Genomic DNA, 19,257 nt, shown 5'->3' on the forward strand with positions numbered 1-19,257 from the left:
AACTGGAAATCATCATTCTCAGTAAACTATCACAAGAACAAAATACCAAACACCGCATATTCTCACTCATAGGTGGGAATTGAACAATGAGATCACATGGACACAGGAAGGGGAACATCACACTCTGGGGACTGTTGTGGGGTGGAGGGAGGGGGGGAGGGATAGCACTGGGAGATATACCTAATGCTAGATGACAAGTTAGTGGGTGCAGCGCACCAGCATGGCACATGTATACATATGTAACTAACCTGCACATTGTGCACATGTACCCTAAAACTTAAAGTATAATAATAACAGAAAAAAAAGAATTTTTATCTTCTCTCCAAGATTTCTACTTTTGGAAGCATAGTTTCAGTGTAGCCAATTTTCTCTCACAACAAATGTAATTTAGGTAATAGTATCATCCCATTAACACACTAAAGTTTAGGTAACTTGCCTAAGATTACAATGTTGGGATGCCAACATTGTAACCTAGGCAGTCCAGTTCCAGAACCTGTAGTCACTCTTATCTATTGCAAAAGAGAGGAAAGATAGCATCTAAGGAGTGCTCTGGAAACTAGCTACCATTCTTCTCTGCTCACTGCAACCTCCGCCTCCTGGGTTCAAGCAATTCTCCTGCCTCAGCCTTCTGAGTAGCTGGGATTACAGGTGCCTGCCACCACACCTGGCTAATTTTTTGTATTTTTACTAGAGATGGGGTTTCATCATGTTGGCCAGGCTGGTCTCAAACTCCTGACCTCAGGTGATCCACCTGCCTCAGCCTCCCAATATGCTGGCATTACAGGCATGAGCTACTGCGCCCGGCCTGAAAACAGTTTTGACTCTGCCACTATTTTTACCCACTGAATTTTCTGCCTCTTCTCTTCCTCATTATTTTTGTCTGGAAATTTTATTTTGCTTTAAAAATACATAAAATTTGCTTTTTGAAACCGTCAGTACTAAATTAATATTAATGTTTCCAGAACAGAAAAGAGCTAAGTCTAAGAGTCTCTGTGTTGATTATACTTAATTTCTTGTTTACCTGTTTCTGGATTTATCTTATTTCCTTTCCCTCTTCTTTTCTTCTCCGTTTGCTATTCCTTCTGCTGAAGTATATCCTTTAGCATATCTTCTAGAAAGAGTTACAAAAGTTCTTAATGTTTATATTATTCAAAACATCTTCCTTTTTTTACACCGTTAAATGCTGGTTTAAAAGGATGTAAGATTTGGGCTTGAATCTATTCCCCAACTCCATATCCCACTTTTCCTCTACTGCCTTTAAAAGATAATTTCCTACAGCTCCTAGGATGTATTGTTTCTATTATAAAATCTCCAGTCTGCCTGTTATTTCTTTGTATTTAATTTTTCTTTTATCTCTGGTAGTTTTTAAGATTTTTTGCTTTCTTGATGATGTTACAAGTTTTACTATAGTGTACCAGGTATGGATTTGCTTTTATGTAAACTGCTTGGCACCGTCTTCATGCTTGCCATCTTTGGATTAAAGTTTGTCTTCAATCCCATAAAATTTGTAGCCACTATTTAAAAAAAACAACAGCTATATTGAGATATAATTGACATACTATAAAATTCAGTCTTTTAAATTGTGTAATTAAGTGGTTTTCTAGTATATTGACCAAGTTTTGTAACCGTCACAACTATTAATTCTGTAATATTAAAACATTTTTAAAAATTGTTTATTTATTTATTACACATAGCGTCTGTCTCTGTCGCCCACGCTGGAGTACAGGGGGACAATCATAGCTCACTACAGCCTTGACTTCCTGGGCTCAAGCAATCCTCCTGCCTCAGGCTCCTGAGCAGCTAGGACTAGAGGTGCACACCATCACGCCTGGCTAATTTTTAAATTTTTTGTAGAGATGGGGTCTCACTATGTTGCAATGGCTGGTCTTGAACTCCTGGCCTCAAGTGATCCTCTTGTTTTCACCTGCCAAAGTGCTGGGATTCCAGGAATCAGTTACTGTACCTGGCTTCAGAACATTTTGATCACCCCAAAAGAAACATAATAACCATTAGTAGTGACATTCCATTCCCTCTGTCTCTGAGCCACTGACCATCACTAATCTGCTTGCTGTTTCTATGGATTTATCTATTCTGGATATTTGCTATAAATGGAATTATATTATACGATATGTGACTCTTGTGTCTTATTTTACTTAGTATGATGTTTTCAAGTTTCACCCATGCTGTAGCATGTATCAATATTTAATTTCCTTTTATTGTCAAATGATTTTTTATTATATGGATATACTACATTTTATTTATCCATTTATCAGTTGATAGATATTTGGGTTGTTTTCATTTTGTGGATATACCACATTTTATTTATCCATTTATCAGTTGATAGATATTTGGGTTGTTTTCATTTTGTGGCCATTATGAATAATGTTACCATGAAAAGTCATGAAACCGTTTTTGTGTGGACATATCTTTTCTTTTCTTTTCTTTTCTTTTTTTTTTTTTTTTTTGAGACAAAGTCTCCCACTGTCGCCCAGGCTGGAGTGCAGTGGTGCGATCTTGGCTCACCGCAACCTCTGCCTCCCAGGTTCAAGCAATTCTCCTGCCTTAGTCTCCTGAGTAGCTGGGATTACAGGCGTGTGCCACCTTGCCCGGCTACTTTTTTTTTGTATTTTTAGTAGAGACAGGGTTTCACCATATTGGCTAGGCTGATCTTGAACTCCTGACCTTGTGATCTGCCCACCTCAGCCTCCCAAAGTGCTGGGATTACAGGCGTGAGCCACCGTGCCTGGCCTATATCTTTTCTATTCTCTTGGGTATATATTTAAAAATGAAATTTCTGGGTTTTATGGTAACTTTATAATTAACTTTTTGAGGAATTGCCAAACTGTTTTCTAGCAGTGTGTAAGGGTTTCAACTTCTCCACATCATTGTGAATAGTGGTAATTATTCATCTTTTTTATTATAGCCATCCTCATGTTCTTCAAGGGCTACTATTTTTTTTTTCACTATTTCTTCTATGCCATTCTTTGTAGTCTCATCTTAGGGAACAAGCCACTCAATCAATTTTTGTCACTTAAAAATTCTTCATTTTGTTGTGGGTTAATTTCTCATCACTATCTTTTTATTACTGAACGAAGTCTTTAATTCTGTCTAGAGTAGAATAAATCTTGTTTAAACACACTTTTTCCCAATGACTATAGACATAATTTATTGCTAACACATTTTAATTTTATGATTTCTTGCTTCTTCTTAATGAATGGCCTTCTTGTCTTTATCGCTTTGAAAATACTGAAACACTTGTTTTAAACTTTCTGTTCAGATTCCTTTAATATTTGCATTTCATCAGGAGTGAAGTCAATGTTGCATTTTTGGCTCTTGTTTTTAATATTATTTTCCTTATGTAATTTAGAATTTTATAGTGTTGCTCATATCAAATAGATATATTTGTTTTTCTCTCTTTCCTCACTTTTACCTGTTTAGTAGTTTTGCACTTTTGGTTCAGAAATACATTTTACATTGGAGGTTTGGGGTTACTTCCCCATAATGATGTAAATAATATTGCAAATCTAATGGTAAAGCTGGCAAGTGGCTTTGGCCAGATCTTATTCCTCAACTGTGTCTTCTTACTCTTCCTGTTGCTTTCAGTACATGCAAGAGGACTGTCTCTATCTGAGGTCATTGGCAGTGGAGCTGTCTCTTACACCTTGCCACTTGTTCTCAGCTATCATGAAGAAGGAAAGAAGGCTGCCTGCATCAGACAGGCACAAGCCTCAGAGCCCGGGAGCCCACAAGCCCACCATTCAGCTCTAACTTAGTGTGGTGCTTACCTATTCTGTTTCTTTGCTGCGCATGGGTTCATTATCTCTAGGCATAATTATGTCTTTTAAATTAAAACAATTTACATATCTTTGCTATGAGTTTGGATGGGAACAAGGGCTCATAATGATACTTCTTGAATGCCTATGACAAGCAAAATAGACACAGTTCCTACTTTCCTGGGGCTTTCTACTTGTTGAGACATGAATTAAGAAATAGTTATAAAGTGAACCAAGTGCTGTGACAGCCCAAAATCCAACAAACCACCAAACAAAAAAGAGTGTTGTATGAGAGCTATGATGAAGAAAGGGAATCCAAGCAGGGAGGAGTGCGGAGGTGGACCTCTGGAAGTCATTAATAATAGAGTAAACCAGTAAGTAGCTTTTTAGAACAGCTGATTGGTAGTGCTTGGCTGATATAGAGTGAAATGTTTTATTTTAGTGGTTTTAAAATTCTGATCAAAAGTCTATAGAGTTTTTCCCTTGCTAGAATACCTTGATATTAAGACCTTGAACAGCAATAAATCAGTCATATAAAATCCAGTTTTTGTTTCATTTGAAGACTTCCAGGTATAGTAGATGCTCAACTTGACAAATATTCCCGTGATGCTTCAAGAAGGAGGGCAGGATTCAATTTAGAGATCTCTAATCACATAAAACCATTTCTGCTTGGTACTCTTTTAACAGCTCAGTATTCTTCTGTCCAAAGGCTCTACGCCTTCCATTTGCTACAGCAGTCATTACTAGACCATGCTACAATTTGGGGAGGCTGATTGGGCCAATAATTTAATGCATAAGTTAGTGGTTGACACATTTTGAAAATGAGATTCCTTATGCACAAAGGAGTTTCCACATGATGTATTCCAACTCTCAAATGCTTCCCCTTTTTATGCTTTATTGTCCAAAGGATGATTTAATGTTAAAATTGTCAGTTTACTATCAGGAGACAGGCTTGTTTTCTATTTGGAGTAGCTTCCCACATATAACAAAATTATGTGATTCCTGGAGTTTTCAGAAAGTTAAATTCACAAGATTTTTCAAGAGACTTGCAATTTGAGGCATTACATATATAGCTTAAGATACACTGTGATGGAAAACTTTAACTTCTTAGTTACATAGTACAATATACAGAAAAAGGATTATTTGGTACATTCCATTAAAAGTTATCTATATCTCAATAAGAAAAATGCAATCAGATAAAAGGTAAAATACATAAAAATTTATAGAATGTTCAGGAAACAAAAAATGAAGCTCAGACTCACTAGTACAGAGAGACTTAACACAAATTAATGCAAGATACTATTTTACCCATCATTGTGGCAAAATTAAGTAACTGAAATTATTTAACACTGTCAAGAGTATGAGGAAAGGACACACATATATTGTAGCTGGGAATATAAATTGGTACAGTACTTTAGAAGTATGTGGCAATAACTACAAAATATTAAACATACATGTCCTTTGATCCAGCGATTTAAAAAAAATATTTATTTATTTATTTTTAACATTTATTTTAGGTTCAGAAATACATGTGAGGGTTTGTTATGTAGGTAAATTGCATGTCACAAGGGTTTTGTGTACAGATTATTTTGCCACCCTGGTAATAAGCATAGTACTAGATACGTAGTTTTTCAGTCCTCACCCTCCTCTCTCCCTTCACACTCAAGTAGGCCCTGGCGTCTGTTGTTCCCTTTTTGGTGTCCATATGTACTCAATGTTTAGCTCCCACTTATACATGAGAATATGCAGTATTTGGGTTTTTATTACTGTATTAGTTTGCTTAGGACAATGGCCCCAGCTCCATCCATGTTGCAGCAAAGGACATTATCTTGTTCTTTTTTATGGCTGCATAGTATTTCGTGGTGTATATACACCACGTTTTGTTTCTCTAGTCTACAATTGACAGTCATTTAGGTTGATTCCATGTCATTGCTATTGTGAACAGTGCTGTGATAAACATACGCATGCATGCATCTCTATGGTAGAACAATTTATATTTGGGTATATATCGAATAATGGGATTGCTGGGTTGAATGGTAATTCTGCTTTGAGTTCTTTGAAAAATCGCAAAACTGCTTTTCAGGATGGCTGAACTAATTTATGTTCCTTCCAGTAGTGTATAGGCATTCCCTTTTCTCTGCAACCTTGTTGCCATCTGTTATTTTTTGACTTTTTAGTAATAACCATTCTGACTGGTGTGAGATGGTATCTCATTGTGGTTTTGATTTGCATTTCTCTAATGACTAGTGATGTTGAACATGTTTTCATATGCTTGTTGGACTCACGTATGTCTTCTTTTGAGAAGTGTCTGTTCATGCTCTTTGTCCACTTTTTAATGGGCCTGTTTTTTGCTTGCTGATTTGTTTAAGTTCCTTACAGATTCTGGACATTAAGCCTTTGTTGGATGCAAAGTTTGCAAATATTTTCTCCCATTCTGCTTGTTTACTCTCTTGATAGTTACTGTTGTCAGATGCATAGTTTGCAAATATGTTTTCCCATTCTGTAGGTTGTCTGTTTATGGCTGTGCAAAAGCTCTTTAATTAGGTCCCATTTGTCAATTTGTTGTTGTTGGTGCAATTGCTTTTAGTGTCCTCCTCATAAAATCTTTGCCAGATCCTATGTCCACAATGGTGTTTCCTAGATTATTTTCCAAAGTTTTTGTAATTTTAGGTTTTTTATTTAAGGCTTTAATCCATCTGAAGTTGATTTTTGTATATGGTTAATGAAGATGTCCAGTTTCAATCTTCTGCATGTGACTAGCCAGTCATCCCAGCACCACTTATTGAATAGGGAGTCCTTTCCTCACTGCTTGTTTTTGTCGACTTTGTGGAAGATCAGATGGTTGTAGATGGGCAGAATTATTTCTGGATTTCTGTTCTGTTCCATTGGTCTATGTGTCTGTTTTTGCACCAGGATCATACTGTTTTGGTTACTGTGCCTTGTAGTATAAATTGAAGTTCAGTAATGTAATGCCTACAGCTTTGTTCTTTTTGCTTAGTATTGCCTTGGCTAGTAAGGCTCTTTTTTGGTTCCATATGAATTTTAAAAGAGTTTTTTCTAATTTTATTAAGACTGTTGTTGGTAGTTTGATAGGAATAGCACTAAATCTGTAAATTGCTTTGGGCACTGTGGCCATTTTAACAATATTGATTCTTCCTATCCATAAGCATGGAATGTTTTTTTCATTTGTTTATGCCCTCTTTGATATCTTTCAGCAGTGTTTTGTAATTCTCATTGTAGACATCTTTTACCTACCTGGTTAGCTGTATTATTTGGTATTTTATTGTTTTTGTGGATATTGTGCATGGGATTGCATTCTTGATTTGGCTCTCAGTTTGGATGTTGTTGATGTATAGGAATGCCACTGATTTTTTGTTTGTTTGTTTGTTTGAGACAGAGCCTTGCTGTGTCACCCAGTCTGGAGTGCAGTGGCACGATCTCAGCTCACTGCAACCTCTGCTTCCCGGGTTCAAGTGATTCTCCTGCCTCAGCCACCTGAGTAGCTGGGATTATAGGCACGTGCCACCACACCCAGCTAATTTTTATGTTTTTAGTAGAGACAGGGTTTCACCATGTTGGTCAGGGTGGTCTCAAACTCCTGACCTCGTGATATAAACCCCTCAGCCTCCCAAAGTGCTGGGATTACAAGTGTGAGCCACCATGCCCAGCGCCATTGACGTTTGTATGTTGATTTTGCATCCTGAAACTTGCTGAAGTTGTTTATCAGATCAAGGAGCTTTTGGGCAAAGACCAAGGGGTTTTCTAGGTATAGAGTCATATTGCCTGCAAACAGGGATAGTTTGACTTCCTCTTTTTTAATTTCAGTGCCTTTTATTTATTTCTCTTGCCTGATTGCTCTGGCTAGGACTTCCAGTACTATGTTGAACAAGAGTGGTGAGGGAAGACATCCTTGTCTTGTTCTGGTTTTCAGGCGGGGAACATTTCCAACTTTTGCTTATTCAGTATGATGTTGGCTGTGGATTTGTCATAGATGGCTCTTATTATTTTGAAGTACGTTTCTTCAATGCCTACTTTGTTGAGGGTTTTTAACATAAAGGTAATCCAGCAATTCTACTTTTAAAAGTTAATCCTATGGAATATTTGCAATATGTATTACTACTAGTACCATTACTACACACACACACACATACACAGACACGTGCCTTTTACATAGAATGGGATATATAGTGCATATGTATTTAAAAGGATGTTTACTGAAGCACTGTTTGTAACGTGAAAAAATTAATTACTAGTGGAGTTGTTAAAAAAACCCCAAAGCATATATATGACACAATTCCATGCAGTAGTTAAAGAGCATCAGGTAGACTCACATGTTGATGTGGAAATATTGCCAAGATATATGAAGTGGAAAAAAAAAGGTGGCAGGAAGATGGCCAAATAGGAACACCTCCAGTCTACAGCTCCCAGCATGAGCAACGCAGAAGACAGGTGATTTCTGCATTTCCAACTGAGGTACTGGGCTCATCTCACTGGGGCTCGTCGGAGAGTGGGGGCAGGACAGTGGGCACAGCCCACCGAGCATGAGCCAAAGCAGGGTGAGGCATCACCTTGCCCAGGAAGCACAAGGGGTCAGGGAATTCCCTTTCCTAGCCAAGGGAAGGGGTGACAGATGGCACCTGGAAAATCAGGTCACTCCCATCCTAATACTGCGCTTTTCCAATGGTCTTAGCAAACAGCACACCAGGAGATTATATCCCCTGCCTGGATCGGAGGGTCCCACAGCCACGGAGCCTCTCTCATTGCTAGCACAGCAATCTGAGATTGAACTGCAAGGCAGCAACGAAGCTGGGGGAGGGGCGCCCACCATTACTAAGGCTTGAGTAGGTAAACAAAGCGGCCACGAAGCTCGAACTGGGTGGAGCCCACTGCAGCTCAAGGAGGCCTGCCTGCCTCTGTAGACTCCACCTCTGGGGGTGGGGCATAGCCAAACAAAAGGCAGCAGAAACCTCTGCAGACTTAAATGTCCCTGTCTGACAGCTTGGAAGAGAGTAGTGGTTCTCCCAGCACGCAACTTGAGATCTGAGAACAGACAGACTGCCTCCTCAAGTGGGTCCCTGACCCCCGAGTAGCCTAACTGGGAGGCACCCCCCAGCAGGGGCAGACTGACACCTCGCATGGCCGGGTACCCCTCTGAGATGAAGCTTCCAGAGGAAGGATCAGGCAGAAACATTTGCTGTTCACCAATATTTGCTGTCCTGCAGCCTCCGCTGCTGATACCCAGGCAAACAGGGTCTGGAGTGGACCTCCAGCAAACTCCAACAGACCTGCAGCTGAGAGTCTTGACTGTTAGAAGGAAAACTAACAAGCAGAAAGGACATCCACACCAAAACCCCATCTGTATGTCACCATGATCAAAGACCAAAGGTAGATAAAACCACAAAGAGGGGAAAAAACAGAGCAGAAAAGCTGAAAATTCTAAAACTCAGAGCACCTCTCCCCTTCCAAAGGAATGCAGCTCCTTGCCAACAACGGAACAAAGCTGGACGGAGAATGACTTTGACGAGTTGAGAGAAGAAGGCTTTAGACGATCAAACTTCTCCGAGCTAAAGGAAGAAGTTCGAACCCATCACAAAGAAGATAAAAACCTTGAAAAAAGATTAGACGAATGGCGAACTAGAATAACCAGTGTAGAGAAGTCATTAAATGACCTGATGGAGCTGAAAACCATGGCATGAGAACTACGTGATGAATGTACAAGCTTCAGTAGCCAATTCAATCAACTGGAAGAAAAGGTATCAGTGATTGAAGATCAAATGAATGAAATGAAGCGAGAAGAGAAGTTCAGAGAAAAAAGAGTAAAAAGAAACAAACAAAACCTCCAAGAAATATGGCAGTATGTGAAAAGACCAAATCTACGTGTAACTGGTGTACCTGAAAGTGACGGGGAGAATGGAGCCAAGTTGGAAAACACTCTGCAGGGTATTATCCAGGAATACTTCCCCAACCTAGGAAGGCAGGCCAACATTCAAAATCAGGAAATACAGAGAACGCCACAAAGATACTCCTCGAGAAGAGCAACTCCAAGACACATAATTATCAGATTCACCAAAGTTGAAATGAAGGAAAAAATGTTAAGGGCAGCCAGAGAGAAAGGTCGAGTTACCCACAAAGGGAAGCCCATCAGACGAATAGCTCTCTCGGCAGAAACTCTACAAGCCAGAAGAGAGTGGGGGCCAATATTCAACATTCTTAAAGAAAAGAATTTTCAACCCAGAATTTCATATCCAGCCAAACTAAGCTTCACAAGTGAAGGAGAAATAAAATACTTTACAGACAAGCAAATGCTGAGAGATTTTTGTCACCACCAGGCCTGCCTTACAAGAGCTCCTGAAGAAAGCACTAAACATGGAAAGGAACAACCAGTACCAGCCACTGCAAAACCATGCCAAATTGTAAAGACCATCAATGCTAGGAAGAAACTGCATCAACTAATGAGCAAAATAACCAGCTAACATCATAATGACAGGATCAAATTCACACATAACAATATTAACCTTAAATGTAAATGGGCTACATGCTCCAATTAAAAGACACAGCCTGGCAAATTGGATAAAGAGTCAAGAACCATCAGTGTGCTGTATTCAGGAGACCCACCTCACGTGCAGAGACACACATAGACTCAAAATAAAGGGATGGAGGAAGATCTACCAAGGAAATGGAAAACAAAAAAAGCAGGGGTTGTAATCCTAGTCTCTGAGGAAACAGACTTTAAACCAACAAGGTCAAAAGAGACAAAGAAGGCATTACCTAATGGTAAAGGGATCAATTCAACAAGAAGAGCTAACTATCCTAAATATATATGCACCCAATACGGAAGCACTCGGATTCATAAAGCAAGTCCTTAGAGATCTACAAAGAGACTTAGACTCCCACACATTAATAATGGGATATTTTAACACCCCACTGTCAACATTAGACAGATCAACGAGACAGAAAATTAACAAGGATATCCAGGAATTGAACTCAGCTCTGCACCAAGCGGACCTAATAGACATCTACAGAACTCTCCACCCCAAATCAACAGAATATACATTCTTCTCAGCACCACATCGCACTTATTCCAAAATTGACCACATAGTTGGAAGTAAAGCACTCCTCAGCAAATGTAAAAGAATAGAAATTATAACAAACTGTCTCTCAGACCACAGTGCAATCAAACTAGAACTCAGGATTAAGAAACTCACTCAAAACCGCTCAACTACATGGAAACTGTACAACCTGCTCCTGAATGACTACTGGTTACATAATGAAATGAAGGCAGAAATAAAGATGTTCTTTGAAACCAATGAGAACAAAGACACAACATACCAGAATCTCTGGGACACATTTAAAGCAGTGTGTAGAGGGACATTTATAGCACTAAATGCCTACAGGAGAAAGCAGGAAAGATCTAAAATTGACGCCCTAACATCACAATTAAAAGAACTAGAGAAGCAAGAGCAAATACATTCAAAAGCTAGCAGAAGGCAAGAAATAACTAAGATCAGAGTGGAACTGAAGGAGATAGAGACACAAAAAAAAAATCCTTCAAAAAATCAATGCATCCAGGAGGTGGTTTTTTGAAAGGATCAACAAAATTGATAGACCACTAGCAAGACTCATAAAGAAGAAAAGAGAGAAGACTTAAATAGATGCAATAAAAAATGATAAAGGAGATATCACCACTGATCACACAGAAATTCAAACTACCATCAGAGAATACTATAAACACCTCTACGCAAATAAACTAGAAAATCTAGAAGAAAGGATGAATTCCTGGACACAGACACCCTCCCAAGACTAAACCAAGAAGAAATTGAATCCCTGAATAGACCAATAACAGGCTCTGAAATTGAGGCAATAATTAATAGCCTACCAATCAAAAAAAGTCCAGGACCAGATGGATTCACAGCCAAATTCTACCAGAGGTACAAGGAGGAGCTGGTACCATTCCTTCTGAAACTATTTCAATCAATAGAAAAAGAGGGAATCCTCCCTAACTCATTTTATGAGGCCAGCATCATCCTGATACCAAAGCCTGGCAGAGACACAACAAAAAAAGAGAATTTTAGACCGATATCCCTGATGAACATTGATGCAAAAATCCTCAATAAAATACTGGCAAACTGAATCCAGCAGCACATGCAAAAGCTTACCCACCATGATCAAGTGGGCTTCATCCCTGGGATGCAAGGCTGGTTCAACATATGCAAATCAATAAATGTAATCCAGAACATGAACAGAACCAAAGACAAAAACCACATGATTATCTCAATAGATGCAGAAAAGGCCTTTGACAAAATTCAACAACACTTCATGCTACAAACTCTCAATAAATTAAGTATTAATGGGACATAACTCAAAATAATAAGAGCTATTTATGAGAAACCCATAGCCAATATCATACTGAAAGGGCAAAAACTGGAAGCATTCCCTTTGAAAACTGGCACAAGACAGGGATGCCCTCTCTCACCACTCCTATTCAACATAGTGTTGGAAGTTCTGGCCAGGGCAATCAGGCAGGAGAAAGATAAAGGGTATTCAATTAGGAAAAGAGGAAGTCAAATTGTCCCTGTTTGCAGATGACATGATTGTATATCTAGAAAACCGCATCGTTTCATTCAAAAATCTCCTTAAGCTGATAAGCAACTTCAGCAAAGTCTCAGGATACAAAAATCAATGTGCAAAAATCACAAGCATTCTTATATGCCAATAACAGACAGAGAGCCAAATCATGAGTGAACTCCCATTCACAACTGCTTCAAAGAGAATAAAATCTCTAGGAATCCAACTTACAAGGGATGTGAAGGACCTCTTCAAGGTGAACTACAGACCACTGCTCAACAAAATAAAAGAGGACACAAACAAATGGAAGAACCTTCCATGCTCATGGATAGGTAGAATCAATATTGTGAAAACAGTTAACACACCTGTTAACTGTTAACAGTTAAACTGTTAACAGTGGTTACTTCTGTGGGAGTTACAGAAGGTGAAAGACGAATTTCACCAATAACATTGTATAAATCTGCCTTTAAGAATTCTTATGAAGAAAAATGATGGCACTTAGAACTACCTAAAATCTCCCTGTCACTTGTTGTTTATTGCCTCACTCTACCCATAGAATGTAAATTTTGAGAAAGCAGGTGGACTTTCATTTTCAGTAGCTTCTGAGCTGAGGGTAGTGCATGGCCTATAGCAGTGGTCCCCAACCTTTTTGGCATCAAGGGCCAGTTTTGTGGAAGACAATTTTTCCATGGACCAGGGTGGGGTGGTTTCCGGGTGATACTGTTCCACCTCAGCTCATCAGGCATTAGTTACATTCTCATAAGGAGCGTGCAACCCAGATCTCTCCCATGCACAGTTCACAGTAGGGTTGGTTCGCGCTCCTGTGAGAATCAGATGCTGCTGCTGACCTGACAGGAGGCGGAGCTCAGGCTATAATGCTCACTAGCCTGTCGTTCACCTCCTGCTGTGCTGCTGGATTCCTACCAGGCCATGGACCAGTACTGGTCCGTGGCCTGGGGATTGGGAACCCCTGGCCTATAGTATATGCTCCATAAGTATTTATTCAGTTAGTAATTTGGGTAATGAAAAGGAAATAATGACTTTCTGGGCAAATTCTCTATTGCCAGTTCCAAATTCACCTAAGTCTCCATCCCGCCAGACAATTCTTTAACAAGAGTAGCCTCTCCTATCACTTCACTGCTGATTTCAAATTGTGTGCCTTCCTCATGGCCCATCCTCTACTCAGTCCTTTCTGGATTCTTTGAAGATCTAGTATTCTACTTGATTGATAAATTGAAAGAGGAATTTTAGAAATTTGGCTCTTTCATTTCGTGTCTATAACTCCCTCTCCCTTCCAATTTCTTTCTAGATCAATATCAAAATGAGAGCAAGCAAGGTGGCCAGCAAAGGGTGTGCCTGAGGTCCTCCAGAGTTCTCCAGGGAAGAGAGCAACAAGAAACCCCAGGGGCGAGGTGACAGACTAAAGCCTAGTGGCTAAGGGAAGGGGGCGCCTCGCTGAGGGCCTGGGATGGAGTGGCTCCTTGAAATGTCTCAGTCATCAAAACCTGTGAATCCCTCAGAAGTGGGGTGTGCTCCTCACCTTGCTGTGGAAGGTCCTAGGAGGACCTGCCCAGTTCTCCTAATCCCAAGGAGCCTGCAAGGAGACCAGCAGAATGGTAAGGCTGACTATGGGAGAGGGCTGTTCTAACCCCAACACTCCATTCAGGACTTCTAAACACAAAAGCTGGAAGGAAAAACAGAAAGCCTATCAGTATTTTGCTAGGCAGCAAAAGATAAATTAGCAATGTCATGGAGTAAGTCTATAGTCAGGGTGATGGATAGGCTTGTGTGGATTGTAACAAGGTGATAAAAAATGATTCTTGAAGGTAATTTATAGCTTAAAGAATTCATGCATTTGATGGGTCTAAGGCAATTCACCGCAGAGCAGAAAATCATTCAGATATGTACCCTGAAAAACACACTTGAAAAGCAAAACAGTAAGGATATCCAAATGATCAATTAACATATGAAATGATGCTTGATCTCATTAGTAATTAGGGAAATGTAAATTAAAACAGAATGGCCTACTTTGAAAAGACTGACAATATGAAGTATTGGTGGGCTATACTGCAAGTAGAAGTCCAAAACAGTACAAACTTTTTTTTTTTGAGACCGAGTTTCACTCTTGTTGCCCAGGCTGGAGTGCAATGGCGCGATCTCAGCTCACTGCAACCTCCACCTCCTGGGTTCAAGTGATTCTCCTGCCTCAGCCTCCTGAGTAGCTGGGATTATAGGTGCACACCACTACGCCCAGCTAATATTTTGTATTTTTAGTAGAGACGGGGTTTCACCATGTTGGCCAGGCTGGTCTCAAACTCCCAACCTCAGGTGATCCACCTGCCTTGGCCTCCCAAAGTGCTGGGATTACAGGTGAGAGCCACCGCGCCCAGCCTAGTACAAACTCTTTAAAGCTGTCAGGCGCTATAAATGACAGTTGAATACACGTATGTGCTATGATCTGGCAAGTCTGCTCTCAGTTAAGTACCCAGGAGAAATGTGTCATGTGTGCTAAGAGACACAGTGGAGGATGTTTACTGAAGCACTGTTTGTAATGTGAAAAAAACTAATTGCTAGTGGAGTTATTAAGAAAAAACCCAAAGCATATATATGACACAATTCCATGCAGTAGTTAAAGTGCATCAGGTAGACTCACATGTTGATGTAGAAATATTGCCAAGATACACAAAGTGAAAGAAACGTGGCAGAATAAAGTGTACACAATCATAGCAGCATTATTTGCAATAGCCAAAACCTGGAAACCATCCAGGCATCCACGAGTAATGAAATGGAACTGTCGTATTTTCATACAATTGAATAGTCTGTGGCAATAAAAAGAATGAACCATGTCGATATGCAACACCATGGATGAATCTCACAAATCAAATATGGAGCCAAATAGATGGGGGGAAAAGTGTGTTTCCATGTCTATAAAATTTAAAAACAGGCGAACTAATCCATGGTTTTTCGAAGTCCTGAGGGTGGTCACCTTGGGCAGAAGGGAAGAATGGTTAACTGGGGGGGCCATGAGTGGGGTTTTTGAGATGCAGGTGATATTCTCTTTCTTTCCCTGGAGGGTGGTTCATGGGAATGTTTCCTTCATAGCAATCCAGTGAGAAGTGCCCTCGTGATATGTGGAACTCTTTGTGTTTATGTTATACCTGATAAAAAAAAAGGTAAGAGAAGAAGGATAAGCATGAAACATGGATGGCTGTGTTTAGGCTATTGCCAAGCTCCTCTGCAGATGTGAATTTTGCACTCCCTGCAGAGACATACATGCCTGGCCAATAATATAATTGTATGTTTTGTTTTGTTTGTAATTTGTCATTCTCAAAGCTATTGGCGAGTGCTGTGAGTTCTGATTTTTGGAATAGGAATTGATAAAGAATGTATTCATTGCATTTTTATTAGAAAACACTGAAAGTTTTATATAATTTCTTTTCAGGTAAACCCAGATGTTTCGATGGATGCAGAAATGATGGTAGATAAGCAGTACATTCTTCTCTCAGGAGCATGAGGAGAGATAAAACTTGTTCTTTGTGGGAGACAGTGAGATTTAAATAAGTCAGTATATCCTGCCACTCTCCTGCTCTCAGCCTTGAATCATTTTCTATCATATTGAGAATAAAACCCCAAGCCCTCGTCCCAGGCTTTCACAAGTCCTGCTGCTTCTCCATTAATACACCATGTCTCCATTTTGAGGCATTGCACTGGCTCTTCCCTCCATCTGGAGCCTCTTCCATCAAATATTCATTTGTTGAATGAATGAATTGATCTATGCGGGGGTGCTTCTGTACATTTCAGGAAAAGAAGAAAAACAAACACATAAATAAAAATGGTCAAAGCTTTACACCCCTCCCCTATCTTCTCCTAAGAATCGTTTTAGCTCAAGGCTCAGAGTCTTCATGCGTTTTATTTTTGGATAATTTCTCTCTCTCTCTCTCTCCTCTCTCTTTTTAAGACCAGTTTTAGGTTCACAGCAGAATTGAGTGTCAGGTACAGAGATTTCCTGTATGCACCTTGTCCAGGCACATGCACAGCCTCCCACATGATCAACAGGCCCCGCCAGAGAGGTCCAGTTGTTAAGGTTGATGAACCTGCACTGACACATCATTATCACCGAGAGGCCATAGTTTACATTAGGGTTCGCTCTTGGTGTTGGACCTTCTGTGGTTTGGACAAATGCAGAATGACATGTGGATAATTCTTTGATTACACAGGTTTTCCAGGTTTGTAATAGAAAACCGAACAAGTGAAGATGAGTATGAGGTGGCTTTGCAAGCAGTTTCTGCCTCGTGGGATATAACTGTCAGGAAAGGAGCCCCCTGCCTGGTGACCAGGACGGAGGCTCATGGATGGTATCTAATCTCTGAAAGAGCCAGGGTGAAGTGGGTGTGTGTGGTGGGGTGGGGGAGCCCAAGATCCACGTGGAAGAGCAATCGTGGCTGCTAATCCTGTAAGTGCTGCTGTGCGCTGGCCCTGGCTTAAAGACTCTACACCCTAACACATTTTACTTATCACAACAACTGAATGAGGCACAGAGGAGAAACCAAGGCAGGGAGAGCTGCAGTTCACACAGCTACCTGGGATTTCGATGCAGGCAGCCTGGCCTCACAAATGAACTCTCAGAGGGAGCCCAGAGCGGGACGCAGGCTTGGTGGTGGCAGTGGAAGGCCCGAGTGGGTAGGAACCAGCCCCAGCACCGGGAGAGCGCGGAATGGAGCAGCAGCGCCCTCTGCAGGTTGTGGATTTTCCTTCTTCTTGTTCCACGTGGTTTTCTCTGAGACCCTCTCAAATCAGCTGTGGCTTTGGGTTCATCTCACCCTAAGTCCTAGTCCTAGGTTAGTCCCCACCTTAGCCTGTCTCGTGTTTTCAGAACTCAGACATATGCGCTGAGTACGCACCGAGTGCCACAACAAAGTCCGGCTAGCGGCCCTTAGAATAGCAACCTAGGGGGCCTGGGCCCCTCAGAATTCAAATAGGAAATTCTTAAAAACATCAAACATCAAAGCCCTTAAGAGTTGGAAAGCAAACTTCTAATGCTGCAATTTCAAATTGAAGGCCAGACAGCTCAGGAGAAATTTGGAGAGTGAGTGAGGCCTACGCAACCCCCTCGAGTCATGTTTTGTGGACGACCGCCCGTACTTACTGCTGAGGACCTCTGGAGGAGGGGGTCCTGCGTCCTGTAATGCCCGGGGCGGGCGCACAGCCTTGGTTGGCATCGCTCCGCGGCCTGGAGAGGAGTCATCCCCGATCGTCCCTTTCCCCTTTCCTCGTGTCCCGACCCCTCTCCTCTGTTCCTTCCTTCCCTAGGCAATTTTGAAGCATCCTCTAGGTTCCCGATTCTACACCAGACATGAGAGAATTGAGGAACTGCAAGTGTGTGACGCTGTCCCACCCCGAGCATCGTGCGGCCCTTGGCGGAGGCGACCGGCGGGGCGTGGGGGGGGTAGTGTTGGGGGGTGGGGGGTGAAATGGAGCCGCAGACAACTCTTAACTACCACGAGTGCCTTAGCCCAGTCTACACTGCTTCCCCAAAAGAGAAGAAAGCCTCCTAGATTAAAAAAACTGTGCTTGGCCAGGCGCGGTGGCTCACGCCTGTAATCTCAGCATTTTGTGAGGCTGAGGCGGGAGGATTGCTTGAGGCCAGGAAGCCGAGGCTGAAGTGAGCTAGCGACTGCACTCCAGCCTGGGCAACCAAGTGAGCCCTCATCTCTAAAAAAAAAAAAAAAGAACTGTGTGTCAGGCCTCTGAGCCCAAGCTAAGCCATCATATCCCCTGTGACCTGCACGTACACATCCAGATGGCCAGTTCCTGCTTTAACTGATGACATTCTACCACAAAAGAAGTGAAAATGGCCTGTTCTTGCCTTAAGTGATGACATTATCTTGTGAAATTCCTTCTCCTGGCTCGTCCTGGCTCAAAAGCTCCCCTACTGAGCACCTTGTGACCCCCACACCTGCCCGCCAGAGAACAACCCCCCTTTGACTGTAATTTTCCTTTACCTACCCAAATCTTATAAAATGGCCTCACCCTTATCTCCCTTTGCTGACTCTCTTTTCGGACTCAGCCCGCCTGCACCCAGATGATTAAAAGCTTTATTGCTCACACAAAGCCTGTTTGGTGGTCTCTTCACACCGACGCGCATGAAACTGCGCTTGCTTTGAAAAATGTATTTGTCTGATGGTGAACTTTGTTATTTTCTCAAACACATTGTATGAGATATGTAAGTATACATATTGGACTATTGTGAGATAATAATGGCATTATCTTATCAATAATTATTGTATTATCTTTTTTCCTCCCGGGCTTTGCCTGGAAGAAAAAATTAGTTTACCAAGGATCAGGAAGATTGATGGAGTTGGGGCTCTGTGAGTGTGGGGCCCTGTGATTCCTTGCACTAATTCCAGGAGATGGGTCTCCTAACAGCATGATCATGTGGATGTCCTGTGAGCCCTGGCGGGGCTGTACAGAGAGAACAAACTGCCGAGCACAGTGCAGCTGCCTTATCAGATGGGGCACACAGGCTTGCACAGTGAGCATCTCGGCAGCAGCCTTGGTAGACTGCAGACCAGAGACTCGTCCCCCACTTTCCAGAGTTGCTAAATTCCAATGTTTTGAGAAACACAAGAGAAAGGGTTGGTGGGGGTCCTGGAAAAATGATTTAGTGAGTAGGGGTTAAGCCGTATGTTGTTTCAGTTAGAAAAATGAAAAGTTAAAGGCGAAAGATTTGCACGATCTGAAGAGAAACCAGAATGACGAGTTAATGGCACATGTTTACATACGTAACAAACCTGCATGCTGTGCACATGTACCCTAAAACTTAAAGTATAATAATAATAATAAGAAAAATGAAAAGTTACATTTCTTATATCTGAGCATTGTCTCATTAATATGAAGTAGTCATAAGCACCTTGTGTTT

General features: G+C 41.2%; 2 long non-coding RNA genes across 2 annotated transcripts in view; both read right to left on the reverse strand.

Moving 5' to 3' along the window:
- LOC105375849 (uncharacterized) overlaps positions 1–13,932 on the reverse strand; it is a 39,940-nt gene extending 26,008 nt beyond the window's left edge. The window contains exons 1-2 of the long non-coding RNA XR_928910.2: positions 13,879–13,932; positions 1,022–1,111 (exon numbers count right to left, since the gene is read on the reverse strand). This is a non-coding gene — a long non-coding RNA (uncharacterized LOC105375849). The remainder of the gene's footprint in view (positions 1–1,021; positions 1,112–13,878) is intronic.
- A 1,791-nt stretch (positions 13,933–15,723) lies between these two features.
- LOC124901948 (uncharacterized) lies at positions 15,724–17,717 on the reverse strand. Its single transcript, XR_007060914.1, has 2 exons — positions 17,485–17,717; positions 15,724–16,126 (listed from the first exon to the last, which is right to left on the reverse strand). It is a non-coding gene; the product is annotated as an uncharacterized LOC124901948 (long non-coding RNA).
- Positions 17,718–19,257: the final 1,540 nt, after the last annotated feature.

This window comes from Homo sapiens, chromosome 8 (genome assembly GCF_000001405.40).
Source record: "Homo sapiens chromosome 8, GRCh38.p14 Primary Assembly".
Classification (NCBI taxonomy): Eukaryota; Metazoa; Chordata; class Mammalia; order Primates; family Hominidae; genus Homo; species Homo sapiens.